This window comes from Homo sapiens, chromosome 14 (assembly GCF_000001405.40).
Source record: "Homo sapiens chromosome 14, GRCh38.p14 Primary Assembly".
Classification (NCBI taxonomy): Eukaryota; Metazoa; Chordata; class Mammalia; order Primates; family Hominidae; genus Homo; species Homo sapiens.
In genome coordinates, this window is record NC_000014.9 from 66,671,253 (window position 1) to 66,693,009 (window position 21,757).

At 35.0% G+C, this 21,757-nt stretch overlaps 1 protein-coding gene across 20 annotated transcripts in view, besides 1 other annotated feature; it reads left to right on the top strand.

The window, feature by feature from the left end:
* The window catches only part of GPHN (gephyrin), a 1,227,209-nt gene that overhangs the window by 163,106 nt on the left and 1,042,346 nt on the right, over nucleotides 1-21,757 (top strand). For all 20 annotated transcript variants that reach the window (XM_047430879.1, XM_011536340.4, XM_017020913.3 and 17 more), the window contains exon 2: nucleotides 9,855-9,933. In XM_047430879.1, the coding sequence (XP_047286835.1) occupies nucleotides 9,855-9,933 (79 nt within the window). The remainder of the gene's footprint in view (nucleotides 1-9,854; nucleotides 9,934-21,757) is intronic.
* Nucleotides 18,650-18,819: an enhancer, noted in NCBI's record as "experimental_35749 CRE fragment used in MPRA reporter constructs". NCBI's record gives its function as "activates a minimal promoter by MPRAs in K562 erythroleukemia cells, with activity observed for both the introgressed and non-introgressed 14:67156705 variant alleles {active_cell/tissue: K562}" and the evidence as "EXISTENCE:reporter gene assay evidence [ECO:0000049][PMID:34662402]".

Below are 21,757 nucleotides of genomic sequence, written 5' to 3' on the forward strand. Positions count from 1 at the left end.
CATTGCATTACAGATTAATCACTTAATGAAGATAAGAAGTGGAAAGTTCTCAGTTGTAGAGTTAAATAGACTTATGGAAATTTCCTTTCAGTTTGCATGAGGTCAAAAATATTTGGCTGGAAATGTAATTTGAAAATTTATCTGCTGCCCGTTTGTCAGGAAAGGAGATTTTGCTTCTTTAACTTTTGTCAGAAAAAGAATGTGTTAACTTTCAACAGCATAAAACAGCTTGAAAGTACTTAGAATTCAAACAATGTTTGCAGTTGTTAAATGACTATCGTAATATAAGTTTTGCATATAATCATTGTTTTGGCTTATAATTTTAGATTGATTACATTAATACCATGAAATCTTTACATCAGTTTCTCTTTTTGAATTTTTAAATGTATATGTAAAGGCTTTATTAATTATTGATTCAAACTGTTTCTTCTTTTGTGAACTTTGATGGTGTCTTTAAGGAATTGGTTTATTCCATCAAGATTATCAGATTCTTGATTCATGTCTTGTTCATAATATTCCTTTATTATCCCTTTAATGTCTATGACATCTGCAGTGATGTTTCCTCTTTGTTTCTGATATTCATGATTTGTGCTTTCAGTGAACTTGGCGAGAGGTGTATTGATTTTATCAAAGAATCACCTTTTGGTTTCATTCATTTTTCTCTTTAGATTTCCCATTTTCAGTTGCATTGATTTCTGCTCAAATTTTTGTTATTTATTTGCTTCTGCTTAATTTGGATTTAAGTTGCTGTCATATAGCTAGTTTGATAAGGTGGAGGCTTAGATTATTAATTTTAAATCTTTCTTCTTTTCTAATATATGCATTCAATGTTATAAATTTCCCTCTAAACACTGCTTTTACTGCCTCCCTTACATTTTGATAAATTATGGTATCATTATTTAAATAAAAATATTTCTAAATATATTTTGAGATTTATTTTTGACATGTTCTTTAGAAGTGTTTTGTTTAATCTATAGGTATTTGGGGATACTTCTTTTATTCTCCTGTTATTGATTTCTAGTTTAATTCCGTTATGGTCTGAGAGCCAACACTATAATTTTGTGGTAAGATGTGAACGTGGTCCTTTTGGTGAATGTTCCATGTTAGTTTGAGAAGAGTGTCTATTCTGCTTTTATTGGATGAAGTCATCAATAGATGAGAGTATATCAAATTGATTATTAGTGCTGTTGAATTCAGCTATATCCTTATTGATTTTTTTCTTGTGAGATTTGTTCATTTATGATAGAGGATTGTTAGTCTCCAACTGTAACAGGGGTTTCATCTATTACTCCTTGCACTTCTATCAGTTTTTGCCTCATGTATTTTAATGTTCCGTTGTTAGGTGTATATATGCTAAGGACTGTTATGTATTCTTGGAAAATTCATCCCTTTATCATAATATATTGCCCCTCTTTATTCCTGAAAACTTTTCTTGCTTTGAAATCTGCTCTGTCTGAAATTAATACGCTACCTTCACTTTCTTTTGATCAGTGTTAGCATGGCATTTCTTTCTCCATCCTTTCACTTTTATCTGTAAGTATTTTTAAATTTGAAGTGGATTTTTTGGTAGAAAATGTATAATTGGACCTTATTTTTTTAATCTACCCTGACAATCTCTGTTTTTTAATTGGTGCATTCGGACCATTGACATTCAACATCGTTATTGATGTAGGTGAATTAATATCTACCATATTTTAAACTTTTTTATTTGTTGCCTTTGACCTTTGTTCTTGTTTTGTCTCCCACTCTTCTACCTTTTGTGTTTCTAATTGAACATTTTATGTAATTTGAATTTCTCTTTTGTCATAGCATTATCAGTTAGGCCTCTGTTTTTAATTTTTATTTTTATTATTTTTTTGAGACAGAGTCTGGCTCTGTCTCCCGGGCTGGAGTACAGTGGCGCGATCTCTGCTCACTGCAACCTCCGCCTCCTGGGTTCAAGCGATTCTCCTGCCTCAGCCTCCCTAGTAGCTGGGACTACCAGTGCGTGCCACCACGCCCGGGTAATTTTTTGTATTTTTAGTAGAGATGGGGTTTCACCGTGTTAACCAGGATGGTCTTGATCTCCTGACCTCATGATCCGCCCACCTCGGCCTCCCAAAGTGCCGGAAATACAGGTGTGAGCCACCACGCCCTGCCTGTTTTTATTTTTTAATGGTCATCCTAGAGTTTTTAATACACGTTTCAACTAAACGAAGTCCAATAACACTATATTCACAAGCAGTGTGAGAAAATAATCCTAATTCCTCTCTTCCACGCAGTGTATGCTTACTGGAATTCATTTAACTTTATAAAAGCATGCAGAAGAATACATGTGTATATAAGCCTACATAATCATATACATTGTTGCTATTATTATTTTGAACAAACTATTATGTTAGATAAATCAGGAAAAAGAAAAATTTTTACTTTACCTTCATTTATTTCTTCTCTAACGCACTTTATTTAAGAAGATCTCAGTTTCTGACTGATAATCATTTTTCTTCTTTCTGAAGAAATTCTTTTAACATTTCTTGTATGTCAGGGCTCCTGGCAGCAAATTAGCCAATTTTTTTACTGCCCGAGAAAGTCTTTATTTCACCTTCACATTTTTTCCTTTATTTTTAGCTGACATGTAGTAATTGTACATATTTATAGTCTACAGAGTGATATTTCAATACATTTACACAATGTGTAATTATAAAATCAGGGTATTTCGCATATCCGTAATCTCAAACACTTAACAATTCTTTTTACTGTGAACATTCAAAAGCTTCTCTTCTAGTTTTTTGAAAATATACAATAAATTCTAGTCATCCATATTTATACTACAGTGCTGTAAAGACTAGAGCTTACTCCTATTTTTCTTTTCTTTTTTTTTTTTTGAGATGGAATCTCGCTCTGTCCCCCAGGCTGGAGTGCAGTGGTGCGATCTCGGCTCACTGCAACCTCTGCCTCCCGGGTTCATGCCATTCTCCTGCCTCAGCCTCCCGAGTAGCTGGGACTACAGACGCCCACCACCACTCCTGGCTAATTTTTTGTATTTTTAGTAGAGACGGGGTTTCACCATGTTAGCCAGGATGGTATTGATCTCCTGATCTCGTGATCCACCCGCCTCAGCCTCCCAAAGTGCTGGGTTACAGGCATGAGCCACTGCGCCTGGTCCTTACTCCTATTATCTACCTTTAAGTTTGTGTTCATTAACCAGCCTCTTCCCATCCTTCCCTACCCACTCCCCTTCTAAGCCTCTAGCAACCACAATTCTACTCTCTACGTCTATGACCTCTTTTTTTGTTTTTAATGGATACTACATATGCATGAGAACATGCAGTATTTATCTCTCTGACTTATTTCACATAACATAATGTCCTCCAGGGTGATCCATATTGCTGTGTATGAATGCATTTAATTCTCTCTCTCTTTTTTATGACTGAATAGCAATCAATTATGTATATACGACACATCATTCTCTTTATCCATTCATCTGTTGATGGATGTTTAGTTTGATTCCATATCTTGGATATTGTGAATCATGCTTCAGTAAACATGGGAATGTAAGTATCCCTTTGACATAATTGATTTCCTTGCTTTTTGATAAATGCCCATTCCTGTGATTGCTGGATCAGATGGTAATTAAATTTTTACTTTTTGAGGAACCTCCATACTGTTTTTCATAATGGCCGTACTAATTTACATATCCACAAACAGTGCATAAGTTCCTGTTTCTCTTCGTCGTCACCAGCATATGTTATCTTTGATCTTTTATAATAGCCATTCTGACTGGGGTGAGATGATATCTCATTGCAGTTTTGATTTATGTTTCCCTGATGACTAGGGATGTTGAGCATTCATTCATATATTTGTTGGCTATTTGTTTGTCTTCTTTTGAGATGTCTATTCAGATTCTTTTTCCAGTTTTTTTTTTTTTTTTGACGGAGTTTTACGCTTGTTGCCCATGCTGAAGTCGAATGGCACGATCTCGGCTCACTGCAACCTCTGCCTCCCGAATTCAAGCGATTCTCCTGCCTCAGCCTCCTGAGTAGCTGGGGACTATAGGCACGTACCACCACGCCCGGCTAATTTTTGTATTTTTAGTAGAGATGGGGTTTCACCCATGTTGGCCAGGATGGTCTCGATCTCTTGACCTCATGATCTGCCCGCCTCGGCCTCCCAAAGTGCTGGGATGACAGGTGTGAACCACCGCTCCCGGCCCCTTTTTCCAGTTTTTAATCAGATTTTTTGATGGGTTGTGTGAGTTCCATATATATTCTGGACATTATTCCCTTGTCAGGTAAATAATTTGCAAATATTTTCTTTCATTCAACAGACTATATTTCTTTACTCTGTTGATCTTCTTTTTTTGCTCTACAGAAGCTTTTTAGTTTGGTATAGTTCCGTTTGTCTATTTTTGTTTTTATTGCCTGTGCCTTTGAAATCTTTAAAATCTTTGCTTAGACAGATGTCCTGAAGCATTTCTTATATGTTTTCTTGTAGTTATTTTGTAATTTCAGGTCACAGGTTTAAATCTTTAATCCATTTTGAGTTGATTTTTGTGGTGAGAAGGATGTACTTTCATTCTTCTGCATATAAATATCCAATTTTCCAACACCATTTAGATATTTTATTCTTTTTAGCAGGTATTGACTGCAAATGGGCTTGCTTTCCTGATTTTTTTTTCAGCTAGTTGGTTATTCTATAAAAACATCACTGATTCTTGCATGTTGATTTTGTATCCTGCAACTTTACTGAATTTGTTTAGAAGTTCAAAGATATTTTATCCTTTTATAGATTCAGGAGGGATATGTGCAGGTTTGTTACACACACATATATATATATATAGCATAATGGTGGGATTTGGGTTTCTAGTTTAGTCATCATCTGACTAGTGAATATTGTACCCAATAGGTAATTTTTCAACCCCAACCTCCCCTCTTTTGGAATCCCCAGTTTCTATTATTTTTCTTCCTAGAGTTTTTTGAAGAGTCTTCAGGATTTTTTATATGTAAGATTATGTCATCTGCAAAGAGGGACAACTTGCCTTTCTCCTTTCTAATTTAGATGAACTTTATTTCCTTTTGTGGCCTAATTTTTCTTACAAGGAATTCCAGTTCTATCTTAAATACAAGTTGTAAAAGTATACATTCTTTTCTTGTTCTAGTTCTTAAAGGCTTTTAGCTTTTCTCCATTCAGTGTGATATTGTCTGAGTGTTTTTCATATTTGGACTTTATTGTGTTTAGGTATAATCTTTCTATACTTAATTTTTTAGAGTGTTTATTATGAAGGGAGTTGAATTTTATCAGATGCTTTCTTTGGATTTGAGATGATCATATGATTTGCTTTTCATCTATCATTCTGTTGATGTGATGTAGCACATCTATTGATTTTTATATGTTGAACCATCCTCGCATACCTGGGATAAATTCCACTCAATCGTAGTGTATTTTTTTTTTTTTTTTGATGTGCCTTTGGATTCAGATTCCTAGTATTTTGTTCAGGATTTTTGCATCTATGCTAATCATGGATACTGACCTCTAGTTTTTTTTGTGATTGTTGTTGCATCCTTCTTTAGTTTTGGTATCTGGGTACTACTGACCTCGTAGAATGAATTAGGAAGAATTTCCACCTTTTTAATTTTTTGGAAGAGTTTCAGCAAAATAGATGTTCTTCTTTTAAAGCTTTTTGGTCCTGGGCTTTTTGTTGGGAGACTTTTTTATTGCCAGTTTAATCTCGTTACTCATTATTGATCTGCTCAGGTTTTCTATTTCTTCCTGATTTAATTTGTGAGATTATATGTGTCCAGGAATGTATCCATTTAATATAAGTTTTCTAATTTCTTAGTGTGCAGTTGTTCATAATAATTTCTAGTGGTCCTTTGTATTTCTGTTGTATCAGTTGTAATGTCTCATTTTTTATTTCTGATTTTACTTATTTGAGTCTTCCTTTTTTCTTGATTAGTCTAGCTACTGGTTTGTAAATATAGTTTATCTTTCGATAAAACCAGTGTTTCTTGTGATCCTTTGTGGGTTTTTGTCTCTATTTACTTCTGCTCTGATGTTTCCTTCTTCTTATTTTAGGTTTGGCTTGTTCTTCCTTTTCTGGTTTCTTGAGGTGCTTTGTCAGATTGATTAAGTGAAATTGTTCAAATGGTTTAAGTGTTTATTGCTGTAAACTTCCCTTTTAGTACTGTTTCTCAGTACACTATAAGTTTTTGGTATGCTGTTTCTATATTAATTTGTTTCAAGACTTCTTTGGTGTCTTTAAATTTCTTAATTGAACCATAAGTTTCTCAGGGTCTTTTCTCTTTTTTTCTTGATTAATCTTATTAATTTTTGATTTTCATGTATTTGTAGAATTTCCAAAGTTCCTCTTGTTACTAATTTCTAGTTTTACTCCATTATGGTTTGAGAAGACACTTGATATAATACTGATTTTTGAAAATTTCTTGAGGCCAGTCTTGTGGCCTAACATGTGGTCTGTCTTGTAGAATGTTCTATGTGCTGATGTCAAAAAATGGATCTAAAATGGTTTACAGGCCATATTTGGTCCAACAGCTGCAGTTGGACCAAATATGTTCTGTAAGCCATCTTTAGATCCATTTGGACACACATTTTTGAAGGATAACTTTGTTGGGTATAGTGTTATTAATCAGTAGGTATTTTTTGTTTTAGTACTTTGCTTAAACCATTTTTTTTCTCTCTTGGCTTATAATGGTTCTGCTGAGAAATTTACTGTTAGTCTGAAGGGGATTCCCTTATATGTAACTTGATGCCTTTTGCTGTTTTTAGAATTATTTCTTTGTCTTTGACTCTTGGCAGTTTGAGAGATATATGTCTCAGGGATGACATTTTTGGGTTGAGTATTTTGGGGACATTTGACCTTTCCAGATCTTGATGTCTGTCTCTCAAGATTTGGGAAGTTGTCAGCCATTATTTTACGAAATAAGTTTTCTATGCCTTTTCTACACTCATTTCCTTCTATAATTCACAAAATGTGAATATTTATTTACTTGATGGTTTCCCATGTCATGTAGGTTTATTCATTCTTTTTTAAATTTTTTTTTCCTTTTGTCTGGGTTATTTTTAAAAACCTATCTTCAAGTACTAAAATTATCTTCTGCTTGATCTAGTCGATTGTTGAAGCTTTCAATTGTATTTTTTTAATTTTAATCATTGAATTCTTGAGTTCCGGGATTTCTGTTTAGTTGTTTTTTATGACATTCTATTTAATTTCTCATTTAGATCACCAGTTGTTTTTTTTTTCTGATTTATGTATATTTTCTATCTGTGTTCTTTTGTATCTACTAAGTTTTAAAAGATTATTATTTAAATTTGTTAAGGTATTTCATAGATTTTCTTTTGGGGCTCTGTTATTGGAGAATTATTGTGTTTCTATGGCAGTGTCATATTTCCTTTTTCATGTGTCTTGCATCCCTACATTGATAACTGTGTATATGGTTAGCAATTTCGTCTTTCAGTTTTCTGGATTAGCTTTTTTAGGTAAACTTTTTTCTGTAGACATATCTATAGTGTCATTTGGGTAGAGTGTTTTGGCTTTGGTTCAGGTGGTTGCATTAGTGTAGTCTCTGTATGGTTACTTTGGCTGTAAATAATGTTAACAGTGTCTGCAGTTTCCCTAGGGCGTTCAGGTGAGGTTGTTCATGGAGTCAGCGACAAGACTTTCCTGGCAACATGGATATTTGGTGGGCTTGTTCTTTGGCTCCTAAGGGTTGTGCACAGGCACTGGCAGTGTTAGCAGTGGGTTGTTCTTGGGCTCCTGGGTGGTGATTGGAGGCACATGGTGGCCTTACCACTGGAGTTCATGAGGTCATCATTTGTGGTACGCACTAGGTGGGCCAGCCCTCAGGCCCGAAGTCTCCCTGTTTACACATTGACTGTAGTTGTAGCAGGCCCTGGTTGAGCCAGTCTTTGAGTTCACAGGTGGCACACATGGGTGCCTTCATTTTTAGATGGATATTTTATCAAGGTACAAACTTTTGGATTCAATTTATCTCAAGTATTTTAAACATATTGTCCCATTGTCTTCTGGATTTGATAGTTTCTGTTAAAAATTCAGCTTTAAGTTTTCTTGTTTTTCTTTTGAAAGTGATATGTCTTTTTTCTCCCTCTGACTGTTGTTAAAGTGTTCTTGTTATCTTTGATTTTCAGCATTTTGAGTGTTGGTTGTGGTTTTTTTCACCTTTGCCAGTGTGGTGTTTGCCATACTTCTTAAGTCAGAACATTAATATATTGTATCAGTTTTGGGCTAGTCTCAGCAATTTTTAACTTTTTCTGAAAGTATTGTTTCTCCTCACTTTCTGTCTGCTTTATTCTAACTGGAATTATATTTGTGTTGAAGTGTTTAATTCCCACATATCTCTTATGCTCTGTTCATTTCATTTCTTTCTTGCTGTGCTTCAGTGTGGATATTTCCTGCTGACCTATATTCAAATTCACTAATCTGTGCTTTGCTGTATTCAGTCAGTTATAAAACCCACCCACCAACTGCTTAATTGCAGATAGTGTGTTTTTCAGATATAAAATCACTATTTAATTTTTAAAATAGATTTTCATTCTTTGTTGAAGTTTTCCTTTTTTCATCTACTTTGAAGATCTTTTTTAAAGTCCTTGTCTTCTAACTCTATATCATCTGTGGGTCTGTTTATATTTATTCTCTTTTCCCTTGATTGTTAGTCACATTTTGTGCCCCTTTCCATACCTTGTAATTTTCATCATATACCAAATATTGTTTATAATAGAGCAGCAGAAATTGAACTAAATATTATTTTTCTTCAATTCTGTATTAGAAAGATAAGATCAAGTGCTAATCACCTCAACTCAATTATGAATCTTACTGCATCAAGTCTGGGTGGCAGCTTTCGATACACTTAGAATGCCTTTGATTTTAAATGTCCTAATGACAACAACTGTTGTGTTGCAGACTCTTCTGTCTGGTGACTTTGTATTTATATACTGTAAAATTGTTGGAGATTTTACTCTACCTTTCTGGTCCTGCTCCTTTTACTCATTTCCTCTGGCTCCCCACCCACTAAGGGGATGCTTTTGGTTGAGAGCAAATATCTTGTGGGAAGACCTATTAAAATTTTATCCTCACAGTGGTAGGCTACATCTGTTCTAGTGTGACTTTGTCTTCTAATCACCACAACATTACAGGGATTATTATTTGCCCCATGGCCTGTTCTCCCAACTGCTGCCCCAAATCCTCTTAGGTAATTCTGGCACTCAGCAAATTTTTCAGGGAGAAAACTGTCTGTAATTTTGGACTTCATCAGATTCCAGTTTTTCATGCCAGCTTACAAATTATCAAGAGCTGTGCTGTTTTTTCTTTTCCTTAGTAGTGTCCTTCTTTCTTAGCTAGTCTGTCTAACTGGCAAATCCTTCCAGAAATTAAAATAATCAGCAGGATTAGCTGACTTAAGAGATATTAATCATCCTGCAAATTTAGTTTCTCCTTTCTATTTCCCTTGCTCGCCAATATTTTTAAAAATATGATTTTGTAGTTTGTCTCTTTTTTTCCTAGTTGTTGTGGGGGCAGTGACTTGCTACTGTGTACTAGTAAATTAATCTTGTAACAGTAAGAACAACATTTAGACCGACATGTTTATTATTTTATGTAATGTATTTATATAGAGTTGGTGTGCTTAAAGTAGTGGATTGTTATTGAAATGTTGGCTTGTTTAGAATATTAATATTTGTTGCTAAATTCACCAGGCCTATAAATAAATCAATAGTAATGTTTGGGGAAAAATGAAAAAAAAAAAGCTATTTTTCATTTCAAAATGTCTTTTGGTCAGCAATAGCTTAAATGAAATGTAGACAAAAATTAATTTTTTTTTCTTTTCCCCATTTCTATTTAGTGAGTGATAGTTGCTTCAGGAATCTTGCAGAAGACCGCAGTGGGATAAATCTCAAAGATCTCGTACAAGATCCTTCTTTGTGAGTATTGTGCTTTCAGTATTAAGTATAAATTAAAACTTTATTATTAGTGTTCCTTTTCTCAAAAGAGTTTTATGTGAAAACTTATTTAAGGTACAACAATTTTTTCTTTTCTAATAATGCGTTTTACACATATTGAAGTCTGACAGAACAGTTCAGAAATAGAATAGATTTTAGAAGGAATGATGTCATGATTAATGATTGATTTTCAAGGAGGAATCCTGATGGCTGATGATATCTTGCCAATGTGGCAGTAGCTACTAGCCAAGAAAGATGATTAGTAGTTGATTTCCTTGGGAAAGAGAGATTGAATTTGTTTACAACAATTTGAAGTTTTTTGAATATATTGTTTATAGTAATTATTTGTAATTATAATTAGAAATATAAAGTAGTTATTTGTTATAACAATATACATTTGAATATGTTAGATATATTTCTGATGTTTTACATATGGCACAAGAATTTTGGAGAGTTTGATAGATTTCAGTTTTTAATTTTTTTGCTCATCAGTCAGTCCCATTCTTTATTGGCATATCTTTCTAATACATATACTCTACAATAATGTCACTTTCTATTTCATAAATTTTTTTTACACTTTTATATTTACTGGTAAATATGCATACTATCTATGAACATACCTTCCCAATAAGATCACTGTTTATTAAAAAAAAATAATTAAAACTAGTTAAGCCTGCGAAGCAGAGTAAAGAAAATTGAATACTGCCAGGTGCCTTCTATAATGATACATATAATGCATACAATTAAATATGTCCTAATAGGAAATTCATCTCCCAGATCACATGTAATATACCCTCCCACGGGAGTCACTAATAAGTCATTGAGAATTTTGTGAGGAATAAACACAAGAATATCTTGAACTTGAAGATTATTGATTCTTTAATGATTGACTAGTCATGTTAAAAAATATGAGAGTGCTGAAAATGTATCGAATATTGAAGTTTATATATGATGTCGTGAGTTCAGAATGCATTTCCAAGTCTACCTCTCTCCATTTTTTTCTTTTCTCCATCTTTCTTTTTCTAACTCAAAAGGATTGCAAATATTCCTCCTCCTTGATTTTTATCCCTACTATGAAGATTGACAGTTGTCCTTTGAGTCCTGTGAAAATTTAACCAACAATGTAATTATTCTGTTAGGATGTAAATATACCTAGTGAATAACATTTAATTGCATTAAGAGTTCTACTATCCTTATGGATATGGGTGGAAACTTTACAATTTCCTCAAAAGACTTTGCTTATTTGAATGAATAAAATAAATTACTGGCCAGGCGTGGTGGCTCATGCCTGTAATCCCAGAACTTTGGGAGGCTGAGGTGGGTAGATCACAAGGTCAGGAGATCAAGACCATCCTGGCCAACATGGTGAAACCCCGTCCCTACAAAAAATACAAAAATTAGCTAGGCGTGGTGGCATGTGCCTGTAGTCCCAGCTACTTGGGAGGCTGAGGCAGGAGAATCTCTCGAACCCGGGTGGCGGAGGTTTCAGTGAGCTGAGATTGCACCACTGCACTCCAGCCTGGGCGACAGAGCGAGGCTCCATCTCAAAAAAAAAATTATTATTGTATTATTTGTAAGATATGTTTTAGTAAAATAAGAATGTATGTCTGTTTAATGCAGCAATATGATGAAAATATTTGCTCATATGAACTCCAATTATATAAAAGATTTGAAGAACTACACTTGAATAATGGATTATAATAATCAATTGCCATGTTTTGGAAAAACTTGTTGCTTCTTCCTGGAATGTAGAATAACATTCATCATTTAACCTACCACTAAATTCTATATTTAATTTTAGTATTCTAAAAAAAAAATTCATCTCAGACTACTTCATTGGAAGGACAAAATAATTCTCAGTGTACCTGTCTTAAAACAGCCGGAAATATCTTAATATAGCATCATTCTCCTAACCTGCCATTATCCTCTTGGATTAGTCTAGTATGTAAGAATGTCAGCATTCATGGAGAAAGAGTTTGTTTTTACTCCTGCCTGCTTGGCTTTCTAAGGAATTTTTTCTTTATTAAGAACTGTCAGGATATACTATTGATGACTTGAATTCATATTTTAAAGATATATTTCTCATTAGGTAAAATCTTTTAGAGAAAGAAATGCCCAATGTGGAAATATATATATATATATATATATATATATATATATATATATATATATATATGTTCATATATATATGTTCATATATATATATGTTCATATATATATATTCATATTCTTGTGTTGTTATGATGGGAAATATTTTATTCTGAGTTCCTGTCTGATTGCAGTATTCATTTAGTATGTACATTGTAGGTGAGTATTTTTTTTTTTTAAGCTAGGTGCCTCTTTTCTGTCTCAGACTCTTGGCATAAATGTTCACTACTTTTCATTGATTCAGGTATACTAGATGGTCCTACAAGGAGTTGAATTGTTAATGGTGCAACATTGAATAGGAAGTATATCAGAAATTTTTTTTGTGTTTTTACAAAAATCTCTTCGGCCAGGCACAGTTTCTCACGCCTGTAATCCCAGCACTTTGGGAGGCCGAGGTGGGCGGATCATGAGGTCAGGAGATCGAGACCATCCTGGCTAACACGGTGAAACCCCGTCTCCACTAAAAGTACAAAAAATTAGCCAGGCGTGGTGGCGGGCACCTGTAGTCCCAGCTACTCAGGAGGCCAAGGCAGGAGAATGGCATGAACCCAGAGGCAGAGCTTGCAGTGAGCAGAGATCGCCCCACCACACTCCAGCGTGGGCAACAGAGCAAGACTCCGTCTCAAAAAAAAAAAAAAACTCCTCCTCAAAAAATCACTGTCATTTGATAACTACTCCAGACTAGTCTGATGGTTATTAAAATTGTATACATGTCATTTTAATACATGTTCCAAATAAAAATTATTAGAATAAGATGTGTGTTGAGTGAATGCTATGTATGTTGATGTGCCTGGCAGATTTTTATTATGACTCACCCATTTGAGCTGCTGATACTGAAAGGAGTTGATGGTAAATAAGAATTAAGAATTTTAGCCTCAATACTGTTAGAAAGGAAGACAGAATAATAGAGCAAGAAAAATTAGGCTAAGGAAAACCCAGGCTTATCTAGTCAATATTGATACTCAGAGTAGTGTATTATATGTCTTAATTGGATAAATGAGCAGATACAGAATTTCTGTGGACAAAGTACAGAAATAAAACTGTAATGAGTTTTATTAAGAATATATGATATAAAACAATGTTTAAACCAAGAGTAGTCAGAGCTAGATGAGGGGCTTACTGCATCAGAGATTGAAAGTGCAGAACCTAAACTGACTAATTCATACTCTGAATCTGTGTCAAGCTAATGGAACAATGATAGGTACTCTGTAATTTACTTTAACTGTATAGTACATACTCCAGTATTTTACTGCCATTGTAGTAAAACTTGTTACTGGGCTTGAATGAACCAAGTGAGCTATTGTGTGAACATGGCAGAGAGATGCCATGGGAGAAAAAAATTTTGAGAAAGTTATGAATCTCTAAGCAAGACTTTCTGGTCTTGCTACTAACTTTTCTTTTTTTTTTTTCTTCTTATACTTTAAGTTCTAGGGTGCATGTGCACAAAGTGCAGATTTGTTACATATGTGTACATGTGCCATGTTGGTGTGCTGCACTCATTAACTCGTCATTTACATTAGGTATATCTCCTAATGCTGTCCCTCCCCTCTCACCCCACCCCACAACAGGCCCCAGTGTGTGATGTTCCCTTCCTGTGTCCAAGTGTTCTCATTGTTCAATTCCCACCTATGAGTGAGAACATGCGGTGTTTGTTTTTTTGTACTTGGGATGGTTTGCTGAGAATGATGGTTTCCAACTTCATTCATGTCCCTACAAAGGACGTGAACTCATCCTTTTTTATGGCTGCATAGTATTCCATGGTGTATATGTACCACATTTTCTTAATCCAGTCTATCATTGATGGACATTTGGGTTGGTTCCAAGTCTTTGCTATTGTGAATAGTGCCGCAATAAACATATGTGTGCCATGTGTCTTTATAGCAGCATGACTTATAATCCTTTGGGTATATACCCAGTAATGGGATGGCTGGGTCACATGGTATTTCTAGTTCTAGATCCCTGAGGAATCGCCACACTGTCTTCCACAACAGTTGAACTAGTTTACAGTCCCACCAACAGTGTAAAAGTGTTCCTATTTCTCCACATCCTCTCCAGCACCTGTTATTTCCTGACTTTTTAATGATTGCCATTCTAACTGGTGTGAGATGGTATCTCATTGTGGTTTTGATTTGCATTTCTCTGATGGCCAGTGATGATGAGCATTTTTTCATGTATCTATTTGCTGCATAAATGTCTTCTTCTGAGAAGTGTCTGTTCATATCCTTCACCCACTTTTTGATGGGGTTGTTTTTTTCTTGTAAATTTGTTTGAGTGCTTTGTAGATTCTGGATATTAGCCCTTTGTCAGATGAGTAGATTGCAAAAATTTTCTCCCATTCTGTAGGTTGCCTGTTCACTCTGATGGTAGTTTCTTTTGCTGTGCAGAAGCTCTTTAGTTTAATTAGATCCCATTTGTCAATTTTGCTTATGTTGCCATTGCTTTTGGTGTTTTAGACATGAAGTCCTTGCCCATGCCTATGTCCTGAATGGTATTGCCTAGGTTTTCTTCTAGGGTTTTTATGGTTTTAGGTCTAACATGTAAGTCTTTAATCCATCTTGAATTAATTTTTGTATAAGGTGTAAGGAACGGATCCAGTTTCAGCTTTCTACATTTGGCTAGCCAGTTTTCCCAGCACCATTTATTAAATAGGGAATCCTTTCCCCATTGCTTGTTTTTGTCAGGTTTGTCAAAGATCAGATGGTTGTAGATGTGTGGCATTATTTCTGAGGGCTCTGTTCTGTTCCAGTGGTCTATATCTCTGTTTTGATACCAGTACCATGCTGGTTTGGTTACTGTAGCCTTGTAGTATAGTTTGAAGTCAGGTAGCATGATGCCTCCAGCTTTGTTCTTTTGGCTTAGGATTGACTTGGCAATGTGGGCTCTTTTTTGGTTCCATATGAACTTTAAAGTAGTTATTTCCAATTCTGTGAAGAAAGTCATGGTAGCTTGATAGGGATGGCATTGAATCTATAAATTACCTTGGGCAGTATGGCCATTTTCATGATATTGATTCTTCCTATCCATGAGCATGGAATAAATGTTCTTCCATTTGTTTATGTTCTCTTTTATTTTGTTGAGCAGTGGTTTGTAGTTCTCCTTGAAGAGGTCCTTCACATCCCTTGTAAGTTGGATTCCTAGGTATTTTATTCTCTTTGTAGCAATTGTGAATGGGAGTTCACTCATGATTTGGCTCTCTATTTGTCTGTTATTGGTGTATAAGAATGCTTGTGATTTTTGCACATTGATTTTATGTCCTGAGACTTTGCTGAATTTGCTTACCAGCTTAAGGAGAATTTGGACTGAGACGGTGGGGTTTTCTAAATACACAATCATGTCATGTGCAAACAGGGACAATTTGAGTTCTTCTTTTCCTAATTGAATACCCTTTATTTCTTTCTCCTGCCTGATTGCCCTGGCCAGAACTTCCAACATTATGTTGAATAGGAGTGGTGAGAGAGGGCATCCCTGTCTTGTGCCAGTTTTTAAAGAGAATGCTTCCAGTTTTTGCCCATTCAGTATGATATTGGCTGTGGGTTTGTCATAAATAGCTATTATTGTTTTGAGATACGTCCCATCAATACCTAATTTGTTGAGAGTTTTTAGCATGAGGGGCAGTTGAATTTTGCCAAAGGCCTTTTCTGCATCTATTGAGATGATCATGTGGTTTTTGTCTTTGGTTCTGTTTATATGCTGGATTACGTTTATTGATTTGCGTATGTTGAACCAGCCTTGTATCCCAGGGATGAAGCCCACTTGATCATGTTGGATAAGCTTTTTGATGTGCTGCTGGACTCCCACACAATAATAATGGGAGACTCTAACACCCCACTGTCAACATTGGACAGATCAACGAGACAGAAAGTTAACAAAGATATCCAGGAATTGAACTCAGCTCTGCACCAAGAAGACCTAATAGACATCTACAGAACTCTCCACCCCAGCTTTGTTCTTTTTGCTCAGGATTGCTTTGGCTATTCAGGGTCTTTTATGGTTTCATACCAATTTTAGGATTATTTTTTCTATTTTTGTGATGAATGTCATTGGTATTTTGATAGAGATTGCGTTGAATCTATAGATCACTGTTGGTAGCATGTTCATTTTTACAATATTACTTCTTTTTCTTTATTTTATTTGGTTTTTTTTTTTTTTTTTTTGAGACGGAGTTTCGCTCTTGTTGCTCAGGCTGGAGTGCAATGGCACAATCTCGGCTCACCGCAACCTCTCGCCTCCTGGGTTCAAGCGGTTCTCCTGCCTCAGCCTCTTGAGTAGCTGGGATTACAGGCATGTGCCACCATGCCCGGCTAATTTTGTGTTTTTAGTAGAGACAGGGTTTCTCCATGTTGTTCAGGCTGGTCTCTAACTCCTGACCTCAGGTGATCCGCCCACCTCGGCCTCCCAAAGTGCTGGGATTACAGGCATGAGCCACTGTGCCTGGCCAATATTATTTCTTTCAATTCATAAACATAGGATGTGTTTCCATTTGTTTGTGTCCTCTTCAATTTCTTTCATCAGTTTTTTAGCTTGTTTGTGTAGAGATCTTTCACCCACTTGGTTAAATTTATTTCTAGGTACAGTTGATCCTTGAACAGTATGAGTATTTGGTGTATTGCTCCTGCATGCTGTTGAACATTTAGGTGTAACTTTTGACTTGCCAAAAACTTAATTACTAACTAATAAGCTACTGTTGACTGGAATCCTTAACAATGACATAAACAGTTGACTAACACATATTTTACATACGTATTACATACTGTATTCTTGAAATAAAGTAAACTAGAGAAAAGAAAGTATTATTAAGAATAACAAAATTAAGAAAAAGAAAAATATTTACTATTCACTAAGTCAAAGTAGATCAAGATATAAGTCTTTATGCTTTTCATCTTCACATTGAATAGGCTGATGAGGAGGCGGAGGAAGAGGAAAAGGAGTTGGTTTTGCTGTCTCAGGAGTGGCAGAGGCAGAGAAGAGTTGTCAGGGAGGTAGAAGAGGCAGGCACACTCAAGTGTAACATTTATGGAAAAAAGTCTGCATGCATGTAAGTAGACCCATGCAGTTCAAGTCTGTATTGTTCAAGGGTCTAACTGAATTTTATTTTTGTATGTAGCTGCCATAAAATGGATTGCTTTTTCAGTTTCTTTTTCCACTAGTTTATTGCTGATGTTTAGAAATGGTACTTATTTTTTACCTTGATTTTCTGTCCTGCAAAAGTACTCAACTTGTTCATCAGTTCTAAGAGTCTTTGAGGGGAGTCTTTACTGTTTTCTATATGTCGTCTACAACATGGGAGATGAACGGGAACAAATTTGGATAGTCCTTTCCAATTTGGATGCCCTTTAATTCTTTCTCTTGCCTAATTGTTATGACTGGGACTTCCAGTACTGTGTTGAATGAAAGTTGTGAAAGTCCTTTGCAGGGACATGGATGAAGCTGGAAACCATCATTATCAGCAAAATATCACAAGGACAGAAAACCAAACACCGCATGTTCTCACTCATAAGTGGGAGTTTAACAATGAGAACACATGGACGCAGGGAGTGGAACATCACACACCGGGGCCTGTCGGGGGGTGGGGGGCTGGGGGAGGGATAGCATTAGTAAAAATACTTAATGTAAATGACCAGTTGATGGGTGCAGCAAACCAACATGGCACATGTATACCTGTGTAACACACCTGCATATTGTGCACATGTACCCTAGAACTTAAAGTATAATTTTTTAAAAAAAGAAAAAGAAAGTGGTAAAAGTGAGCATCTTTTTTTTGTTCCAGAACTTAGAGGAAAAGCTTTTAACTTTTCCCAAGTCAGTGTGATGTTGGCTGTGGGTTTACTGTATATGGCTTTTGTTGTGTTGAAGTACATTCCTTCTGTATCTAACTTGGTGAGAGTTTTTATCAGGAAGGGATGTTGAATTTTATTACATGCTTTTTCTATGTTTATTGAAATGATTATATTGTTTTTGTCCTTCATTCCATTGATGTGATGTGTCATATTTATTGATTTGCATATGCTAAACCATCCCATTTATCTCACCCATTTATGCCTGGGATAAATCCTACTTGATGATGGTGAATTATCTTTTTAATATGCTGCTGGATTCTGTTTGCTAGTATGTGGTTGGTAATTTTTGCTTCTATGTTCATCAGGGATGTTGGTCTGTAGTTTTTGCATTTGAGTCCTTGGTCTAGTTTTAGTATCAGGGTAATGCTGGCCTCTTAGAATGAGTTTTGAAGAATTGCCTCCTTCTCAATTTTCTGGAAGTTTTAGACATATTGATTTTAATTCTGCTTTAAATGTTTGATAGAATTCAACAGTGAAGCCATAGGGTCCCAGGCTTTTTTAAAATTACAAATTTAGTCACGTTAATTTTCAATTGGTTTGTTGGGGTTTTTCATTTCTTCTTGGCTCAGTTGTGGTAGGTTGTTTGTGTCCAGGACCATTTCTGCTAGGTTTTCTAATTTGTTGGCGTATAGTTGTTCATAATAGTCTTTAATGATTTTTATTTATGTGGTATCAATTTTTTGTGTCATTTTTCCATTCTGATTTTATTTATTTGAGTCTTTTTTTATCTTGGTTTATTTGGGTCTTTTCTCTTTTTGTCTTCGTTGGTCTAGCTAGTAGTTTGGCAATTTTATTGATCTTTTCATAAAACCAACTTTTTGACTTTTTTTATATGTTGTATTTTTTTCTCAATTTTACTTATTTCAGCTTGGATATTTTTTATTTTTTCTACTAATTCTTACAGTTTGTTCTTGATTTTCTTGTTCCTTAAGTTAGCTTGTTAGGCTATTTGAAAATTTTCTACTTAATGTTGAGGTTTATTGCTATAAACTTCTCTCTTACTATAGTTTGTGATGTATCTCATATTTTTTGGTATGTTGTGTTTCTCTTTTCATTTGTTTCAAGAAATTTGAAATTTTTTTCTTAATTTTTTTATTGACCCACGTTCATTGTAGAACATGTTCTTCAATTTCCCTATATTCTCACAGTTTCAGTAGTTCCTTTTGTTGATTTCTAGTTTTATTTAATTTTGGCCAGAAAAGATACTTAATATGACTTCAATTCTTTTAGATTTGTTGAGCCTTGTTTTGTGACCTAATATGTGGTCTGTTCTGGAGAATATTCCATGTGCTGATGAAAAGTATGTGTATTCTGCTGCATTTGGGTGATATTTTCTCTAAAGGTTTGTTAGGTTCATTTGGTCTGAAGAACAGTTTAAATTAAATGACCTCTGTCACATGTTGAGAGTGGAGTGTTGAAGTCCCCATCTATTATTGTATCAGAATTTATTCCTTCCTTTAAATCTAACAATATTTGCTTCATATATCTGGGTGCTCCAATGTTGGGTGCATATTATATTTACATTTGTTATCTCCTTTACTGAATTAATATCTTTATCATTATGTAATGACCTTCTTTGTTTCTTTTTAGTTGTTTTTTGTTTTTATGTTTGTTTGAGACACAGCCTCACTCCCTCGGTTTGTGTAAGTACACTCTATGAAGGTCACATAAGGTTGAAATAACCTGAGGATGCATTTCTCAGAATGTATCCCTGTGGTTCAGTGACATTTGACTGTAATGAGTGGCAAAGCAGTAAACCTTGGTCTGTATTATTCGAACTCCTATATGCTGACTCACTTACGTATTTCAGTGAAAACCCAAAGATTTTTATTTAGTGTTGAAGGCCTAAACCTCATTTAAAATTAAGTATAGGCTGGGTACAGTGGCTCACACCTATAATCCTGGCACTTTGGGAGACTGAGGTGGGAGGATCAGTTGAGCCCAGTAATTTGAGACCAGGCTAGGCAACATAGTGAGACACTGTCTCTACAATTTTTATTTTTTTTTTTTATTTTTAGATGGAGTCTCACTCTGTCACCAGGCTGAAGTGCAGTGGCGCAATCTCGGCTCACTGCAACGACCGCCTCCTGGGTTCAAGCGATTCTCCTGCCTCAGCCTCCCGAGTAGCTGGGATTACAGGCACTCCCCACCACACCCAGCTAATTTTTGTATTTTCGGTAGAGACAAGGTTTCACCGTGATGGCCAGGATGGTCTCGATCTCCTGACCCTGTGATTCACCTGCCTTGGCCTCCCAAAGTGCTGGGATTACAGGTGTGAGCCACTGCACCTGACCCATGAACATTTTTAAGTGATTAAAAAAAATTTTTAATGAATATTTTATAGTACATGAAAATTATATTTCAGTGTCTATAAATAGTTTTGTTAGGGAACACAGCCATGCATAGTGTTTACCTACTATTCATGGCTGCTTTTGAATTATAATAGCAGAGATGATAAGTTGTAACAAGGATCATTTGGCCCACTAAGCTGAAAATGTTTATTATCCAGTCGTTTACAGAAAACGTTGCTGACAATCAGATATAGAGGATAGACTACAAAGTGAGCTAAATAATTTATCAGTATTCTGTTCAAGATAGTGTACACTGGGAGATTTTCAGAACTTTCTCTGATTGACATAGAATGGAAGCCAAAATTAAGATATAGGGTCTGCAGAAAACAAAACTAAACAAACAATAGCAAAAACTATCCAGTACTTTGGTTAGCAACCTCTAATCCAAAAAAGATAATAAAAGCTAGATAGCATTTTTCTTTTTCTATGTTTGACAATAAAATCAAATTCGGATTTGTCCATAAAACTCCTGAAATTCTATGCAAAATATATTTGTGAGCAAATGTTTGTTTTTCTGGGGCGAAAGTCCTTAGTTTTCCTTTGATTTTCTGTGGGTTTTGCAGATGCAAATAGGTTAAGGATTACTAATATATATAGTTAACTCCCAAATAAAGAGGTTTGAATATATCTTTACTTTACCTGCTAACCTTCTTATAGTCCTGGGTGCTTTCTGTTATTTACCTCCTGACTGTAAAACATGCAATTTTTATTACTATTTTCTGACACACTTCATTGTCATATGCTCTGGTCATTAGGTATAAGTTTACATGGAAGGAGTGAGGAGTATGATGAGGTACTAACATTTATCAACTACCTGCTAGGAACTAAACAGGTGCTTTATGCCTAGTTTTTAATATGATGTTTCATAATTCTGTTAGACATGCTGAGTAATTTGAAATTCAGAGAAGTTAAATATCTGCAGATACACTATCTGTAGATTCTCTAGTAGTAGGCCTGGGACTCCAACCTACGTCTCTCTAATAAGTCCTAAATTATCCTGGCTCCTCTATACAACCAGGAGAGAGAACACAGAAAGCAAGTGGGGAACACAGATGTCTACCTTTTTTTCTTATCGAACAGTTTTCTATAATATTTGCTATTTCTAATTACCATTTTTATATGACCATTGGTGCATATAAACTATATGACATTTTGGTCTCTATGAGCATTAAAAGGATAAAGACATTGTATTAGATTGCTTGAATTGAATGGCTTGTATTGTTGTTATGAAATACCAAAGAAATCTTTATAATATTTGGAATTAAAATATTACCAAGGAAGTAACCCTGAACTGAAGCTTATATAGAGCACTTGTTTGAATTATAGTGTTATATTTTTTATGTTTATTCATACTAGGTAGTAATTCTCTAACCTTATGATTTCATAGCTTCATTGCACTTTAAAAAATTATAAGCATGGCATTGAACTATTGTTTATGTGGGTAACATCTATTGATATTTACTATGTTAA